The sequence below is a fragment of the Homo sapiens genome, chromosome 3 (genome assembly GCF_000001405.40).
Source record: "Homo sapiens chromosome 3, GRCh38.p14 Primary Assembly".
Lineage (NCBI taxonomy): Eukaryota > Metazoa > Chordata > Mammalia > Primates > Hominidae > Homo > Homo sapiens.
In genome coordinates this window covers 109,904,067-109,911,402 of record NC_000003.12, presented here as the reverse complement: position 1 = coordinate 109,911,402, position 7,336 = coordinate 109,904,067, and the positions used below count along the sequence as shown (strand labels likewise).

General features: G+C 39.4%; 1 annotated feature.

Annotated features, from left to right (window-relative positions):
- Positions 1 to 1,200: an enhancer, noted in NCBI's record as "CDK7 strongly-dependent group 2 enhancer chr3:109629050-109630249 (GRCh37/hg19 assembly coordinates)". NCBI's record gives its function as "activates an origin of replication core promoter dependent on BRD2, BRD4, P300/CBP, MED14 and CDK7 cofactors, with strong dependence on CDK7, by STARR-seq in HCT116 cells {active_cell/tissue: HCT116}" and the evidence as "EXISTENCE:reporter gene assay evidence [ECO:0000049][PMID:35650434]".

Genomic DNA, 7,336 nt, shown 5'->3' with positions numbered 1-7,336 from the left:
CTGACATTACCTGGAGCAGAATCAATTTGGAGAGCTGAGCAAAATACAGGGGTAGAGAAAGCAGCAGAAAGGCCCTGGGAGCTCACTGGGTCCCCTAGCAGGCCATTCCTTCCTGGCACCACAGGGATCCAATGGGAGAGAAGCAAGGGGTAAAACTACACAGGGAGAAGCAAATATCTACCTGAACTTTGTGACAATTTCAACAGGGAGAGAAGCCTCCTGGCCAGAACTCCGGGAAGAGTGTGAATCCAGTATGCAGACTCCACAGGAGCGGGAGGAACCAAGCCCTTTTCTTTCACAGCTTGGAGGCAGGTAGCTTGGGGCAGATTTTCAAGCCATATGGCTCTCTCTGCCTGGAAACGTTTGGTGGGGCGGGGGTGGGTACACAGTGGGAAGGGCACAGCCCTTCAGATTGTGTGGGAGCTAGGTAAGGCCTGTGACTGCTGGCTTTCCCCTACATTCCTAACAACCTTCATGACTCAGCAGATGCAGCCATAATCCTCCTAGGTACATAACTCCATTGACCTGGGAACCTCACCTCCATCATCCAAAGCACCCACAGCAAGACCTGCCCAAGGAGAGTCTAGCCCTGCCCCTACCTGATGGTCCTTCCCTACTCACCCGGGTCGTGGAAGCCAAAGGCATATAATCTTGGGAGTTCTAGGGCCCTGCCCGAAACCTATTTCTCTCCATGCTACTAAAGCTGATGCTCTCTGAAAAGTGTCACCTCCTGGAAGGCAACCAACCAGCACAAAAATGGAACATTAAACCTCCAAAGCTAAGAACTTTCACAGAGTCCATTTCACTCCCCTTTCACCTCCACTGGAACAGGTGCTAGTATCCACAGCTAAGAGACCCATAGATGGTTCACATCACAGGACTCTGTGCAGATATACCCCAGTACCAACCCAGGGCCTGGCAGACATGCAGGGTAGCTAGACCTAGAAGAGAGATAACAATCACTACAGCTGATTTTTCCTTCCTCAGGAAGCCACGTTCATAGGAAAAGTGGGGAAGTACTACATCAAGAGAACACCCCATGGGACAAAAGGATCTGAACAACAGCTTTCAGCCCTAGACCTTCCCTCTAACAGAGCCTACCAAAAAGAGAAGGAACCAGAAAATCAACTCTGCTAATATGACAAAATAAGGATTTTTAACACCCTCCCCAAAAAAATCACACTACCTCACCAGCAATAGATCCAAACCAAGAAGAAATCCCTGATTTACCTGAAAAAGAATTCAGAAGGTTAATCATTAAGCTAATCAGGGAGGCACCAGCGAAAGGCAAAGCCCAATGCAAGGAAATCCAAAAAACAATACAAGAAGTGAAGGGAGAACTATTCAAGGAAATAGATAGCATAAATAAAAAACAATCAAAACTTTAGGAAACATTGGACATACTTATGGAAATGCAAAATGCTATGGAAAGTCTCAGCAATAGAATTGAACATGTAGAAGAAAGAAATTCAAAGCTCAAAGACAAGGACTTCAAATTAACCCAATCCAACAAAGACAGACAAAAGAATAAGAAAGTATGAACAAAGCATCCAAGAAGTCTGGGATTATGTTAAATAACCAAACCTAAGAATAATCAGTGTTCCTGAGGAAGAAGAGAAATCTAAAAGTTTGGAAAACATATTTGGGGAAATATTAAAGGAAAACTTCCCTGGCCTTGCTAGAGACCTAGATATCCAAAAATGAGAAGCACAAAGAACACCTCGGAAATTCATTGCCAAAAGATTATCATGTAACCGCATTGTCACCAGGTTATCTACAGTTAAGACAAAGGAAAGAATCTTAGGAGCTGTGAGACAAAAGCACTAGGTAACCTGTAAAGAAAATTTATCAGATTAACTGCGGATTTCTCAGCAGAAACCCTACAAGCTAGAAGGGATTGGGGCCCTATCTTCAGCCTCCTCAAACAAAAAAACTATCAGCCAATAATTTTGTATCCTGTGTCCAGTGAAACTAAGCATCATATATGAAGAATAAATATAGCCTTTTCAGACAAACAAATGCTAAAAGAATTTGCCACTACCAAGCCACCACTGCAAGAACTGCTAAAAGGAGGTTTAAATCTTGAAACAAATCCTGGAAACGGTACCTCACATGTTAATACTCAGATTGAATGTAAATGGCCTAAATGCTCCACTTAAAAGAAAAAGAACTGCAGAATGGGTAAGAACTCACCAACCAACTACCTGCTGCCTTCAAGAAACTCACATAAAGGACTCACATAAAATTAAAGGGGTGGAAAAAGGCATTTCCTGCAAGTGGACACCAAAAGTGAACAGTGATAGCTATTCTTATATCAGACAAAACAAACTTTAAAGAAACAGCAGTTAAAAAAGACAAAGAGGGATATTATACAATGGTAAAAGTCCTTGTCCAACAGAAAAATATCACAATCCTAAACATACATGCACCTAACACTGGAGCTCCAAAATTTATAAAGCAATTACTAATAGACCTAAAACATGAGATAGACAGCAACACAATAATCGTGGGGGATTTCACAACTCGACTGACAGCACTAGACAGGTCATCAAGACGGAAAGCCAACAAAGAAACAACGGATTTAAACTACACCTTGGAACAAATGGACTTAATAGATATATACAGAGCATTCCATCCAACAACCACAGGATACACATTCTATTCAATAGTGCATGGAACTTTCTCCAAGATAGACTATATGGTAGGCCACAAAATGAACCATAATAAATTTAGGAAAATTGAAATTATATCAAGCATTCTCTCAGACCACAGTGAAATAAAACTGGAAATCAATTCCAAAAGAAACCTTCAAAACCATGCAAATACATGGAAATTAAATAACCTGCTCCTGAATGAGCATTGGGTCAAAAATGAAATCAAGATGGTAATTAAAAAATTCTTCCAACTAAACGACAATAATAACACAACCTATCAAAACCTCTGGCATACAGCCAAGATAGTGCTAATAGGAAAGTTCATAGCCCGAAACACCTACATCAAAAAGACTGAAGGAAAACAAAGAGACATTTTAAGGTCATACCTCAAGGAACTAGAGAAACAAGAACAAACCAAACCCAAATCCAGCAGAAGAAAGGAAAGAACCAAGATCAGAGAAAAACTAAATGAAATTGAAACAAACAAGCAAAAAAAAAAATACAAAAGATAAATAAAATGAAAAGCTGGTTCTTTGAAAAGATAAATAAAACTGATAGACCATTAGCAAGATTAACCAAGAAAAGAATGGAGAAAATCCAAATAACCTCATTCAGAAATGAAGTGGGAGATATTACAACTGACACCACTGAAATACAAAAGATCATTCAAGGCTACTATGAACACCTTTATGCACATAAACTGGAAAACCTAGAAGAGATGGATAAATTCCTGGAAAAATACAACTCTCCTAGCTTAAATCAGGAAGAATTAGATACCCTGAACAGACCAATAACTAGCAGCAAGATTGAAATGGTAATTTAAAAATTACAAAGAAAAAGAGTCATGGACCAAACAAATTCACAGCAGAATTCTACCAAACCTTCAAAGAAGAATTTGTACCAATCCTTTTGACACTATTCCACAAGATCGAGAAAGAGGGAACCATTCCTAATTCATTCTATGGGGTCAGCATCACCACAATGCCAAGACCAGGAAAGGACATAACCAAAAAAGAAAACTACAGACTGATATCCTTGATGAACATAGATGCTAAAATCCTTAACAAAATAGTAGCTAACTGAATCCAACAACGTATCAAAAACATAATCCACCATGATCAAGCACATTTCATATCAGGGATGCAGGGATGGTTTAACATACTCAAGTCAATAAATGTCATACACCACATAAACAGAATTAAAAACAAAAATTACGTGATTATCTCAATAGATGAAGAAAAAGCATTCGACAAAATGCAGCATCCCTTTATGATTAAAACTCTCAGCCAAACTGTTATACAAGGGACATACCTCAATATAATAAAAGCCATCTATGACAAACACACAGCCAACATAATACCACATGGGGAAAAGTTGAAATCATTCCCTGTGATAACTGGAACAAGACAAGGATGTTCACTGTCAGCACTCCTCTTCAACATAGTATTGGAAGTCCTAGCCCGAGCAATCAGACAAGAGAAAGAAATAAACAGCATCCAAATCAGTAAAGAGGAAGTCCAACTGTCCCTGTCTGCTGACAATATGATTGTTTACCTTGAAAATTCTGACTCCTCCAGAAAGCTCCTAGAACTGATAAAATAATTCAGCAAAGTTTCCAGATACAAGATTAATATATGCAAATCAGTAGCTCTTCTATACACCAACAGTGACATAGCAGAAGATCAAATCAAGAACTCAACCCCTTCTATCATAGCTGCAAATGTATATATATATATATATATATATATATATATATATATATATATATATATATCACAAACAAATGGAAACACATCCATGTACATAGATTGGTAGGATCAATACTGTAAAAATGACCGTGCTTTATTAGAAGTGTGAGATTGGACAAATGCAGTAAATTGGTACTGGGTGTTGGGGTGCTGCTGTAAAGATACCCAAAAATGTGGACGCAACTTTGGAACTGGGTAATCAGCAGAGGTGGAAACAGTTTGGAGGGCTCAAAAGAAGACAGAAAGATGTGGGAAAGTTTGGAACGTCCTGGAGACTTGTTGAATGGCTTTGACCACAATGCTGATAGTGATGTGTACAATGAAGTTCAGGCTGAGGTGATCTCAGATGGAGATGAGGAACTTGTTGGGAACTGGAATAAAAGTGACTCTTGCTATGTTTTAGCAAAGACACTGGTGACATTTTACCCCTGCCCTAAAGATCTGAGGAACTTTGAACTTCAGAGAGATGATTTAGGGTACCTGGTGGAAGAAATTTCTAAGCAGCAAAGCATTCAAGATGCAACCTGCATGCTGTTTAAAGCATTTGGTTTTATGTATTCACAAAGATATGGTTTGGAATTGGAACGTATGTTGAAAAGGGCAGCAGAGCATAAAAGTTCCAAAAATTTGCAGCCTGAGGATGCAATAGAAAAGAAAAACCCATTTTCTGAGGAGAAATTCCGTTCAGCTGCAGTAATTTGAATAAGTAAGGAGAAGCCAAATCCTGATCACCAAGACAATGGGGAAAATGTCTCCAGGACATGTCAGAAACCTTAGCAGCAGCATCTCCCATCACAGGTGTGGAGGCAGGCCCAGGAGGAAAAAACAGTCTTGTGGGCCAGGCCCAGGGTCACTGTGCTTTGTCTAGCCTAGGGACTTGGTGCCCTGTTTCCCAGCTGCTCCAGCTGTGGCTAAAAGGGGCCAAGGTACAGCTCAGGCCATGGCTTCAGAAGCTGCAAGCCCCAAGCCTAGGCAGTTTCCACATGGTGTTGAGCCTGCAGGTGCACAGAAGTCAAGAATTGAGGTTTGGGAACCTCTGCCTGGATTTCTGAGAATGTAAGGAAACACCTGGATGTCTAGGCAGAAGTTTACTGCAGGGGTGGAGACCTCATGGAGAACCTCTGCTAGTGCAGTGCAGAAGGGAAATGTGGGATGGAGCCCGTACACAGAGTCTTTACTGGGGCATAGCCTAGTGGTGCTATCAAAAGACAGCCACCATTCTCCAAACCCCAGAATAACAGATCCACCAACAGCTGGCACCATGAGCCTGGAAAAGCTGCAGACACTCAATGCCAGCCTGGGAAATCAGTCAGGAGGGAGGCTGTACCCTGAAAAGCCACAGGGACAGAGCTGCCCATGGCTGTGGGAGACCACTTCTTGAATCAGCATGACCTGGATGTGAGACATGGAGTCAAAGGAGGTAATTTTAGATCTTTAAGATATAGTTACTGCCTCACTGGATTTCAGACTTGCATGGGCCCTGTAGCCCCTTTGTTTTGGCCAGTTTCTCCCATTTGGAATAGGTGTATTTACCCAATACCTGTTCTCCTATCTTATCTAGGAAGCAACTAACTTGCTTTTGATTTTACAGGCTCATAAGTGGAAGGGACTTAAAGTTTTTAGCTTCAGACACTTACAGACTTCAGATATCCCAGAGACGGCTGAAAAGTAACCTGAAGAGAATAGAACTTTTATGATATATCATAATACTAAAATGTTCCTGCTTCAATGTGAGAAACTCAATAGGCAGAATCAAAAATTAATTATAAGATTCCTGAGGGGAATTTGGTTTGGTAAAATTTGTTACCACATGATATGATTTGTCTCTGTGTACCTACCCAAATCTTATCATGAATTGTACTCTCATAATTCCGACGTGTTGTGGGAGGGACCCAGTGGGAGATAATTTGAATCATGGAGGCAGTTTCCCCCATACTGTTCTCATGGTAGTAAATAAGTCTCATGAAATCTGATGGTTTTATCAGGGGGTTTTCCTTTTGCATCTTCTCTAATTTTTATCTTGCCGCCACCATGTAAGAAGTGCCTTTCACCTCCCACCATGATTCTGAGGCCTCCCCAGCCATGCGGAACTGTATGTCCAATTAAACCTCTTTTTCTTCCCAGTCTCAGATATGTCCTTAGCAGCAGCATAAAAATGGACTAATATACCACATGAAACAAATCTTATCAAAACAATAATAAAACTTAAAAATGTATGAAGAGGTTTTTGCAAACTTTCCCTAAGACATCTGGCTGAAACTTAGAAGAAAAGGATGTTATTATTGCACTTTACCTCTTGTAATAAGAACCCAGCGGTTAGGCCAACAAGTGTCCAGGAAAACACTTTCTGAAGTCCAACTAAAATTAATTTTCAATTTTTTTTAAAAAAGCAAACTATAACATTTTAATCTCATTATTTTGGATTTCATCTCATCTATATTCTCTAAATATTTATCAATATGAATTGATGTTATTGATGAAGTAAATGAAATGTATATTAAAAAGAAAAATTCCAGACATAGAAACAAGAATATACTTTAAAAAACAGACTTTCATTCACTATGAAAATATTATTTATTTAATTAACAGTCCTAATTTAAATATTTATAGATAATTGCCATGAGCCAGAAACTGGGAAGAGAGTATATAAATATGTGTTCCCCAGCTTTTCTGAAATTTCAGTCCAGCAGAAAAGACAGGCATTTAATACATAATCATATAAATTATTAAAGTTTGAAATTCAATTAATACTTGCCATTTATTTCTATGTGTTCAATAATGATAAAGAACTATGTGTTAAGGAGGCAATATAGGTTCCATTTTATTTACTCACTTCATAACTGGTTTAAGAACTGTGAAAAAATGAACACCATATCTACCCCAGAAGTGACTGAGAGATGGATTTGAAATGTTGGGAACATGTGATGTTTCCAA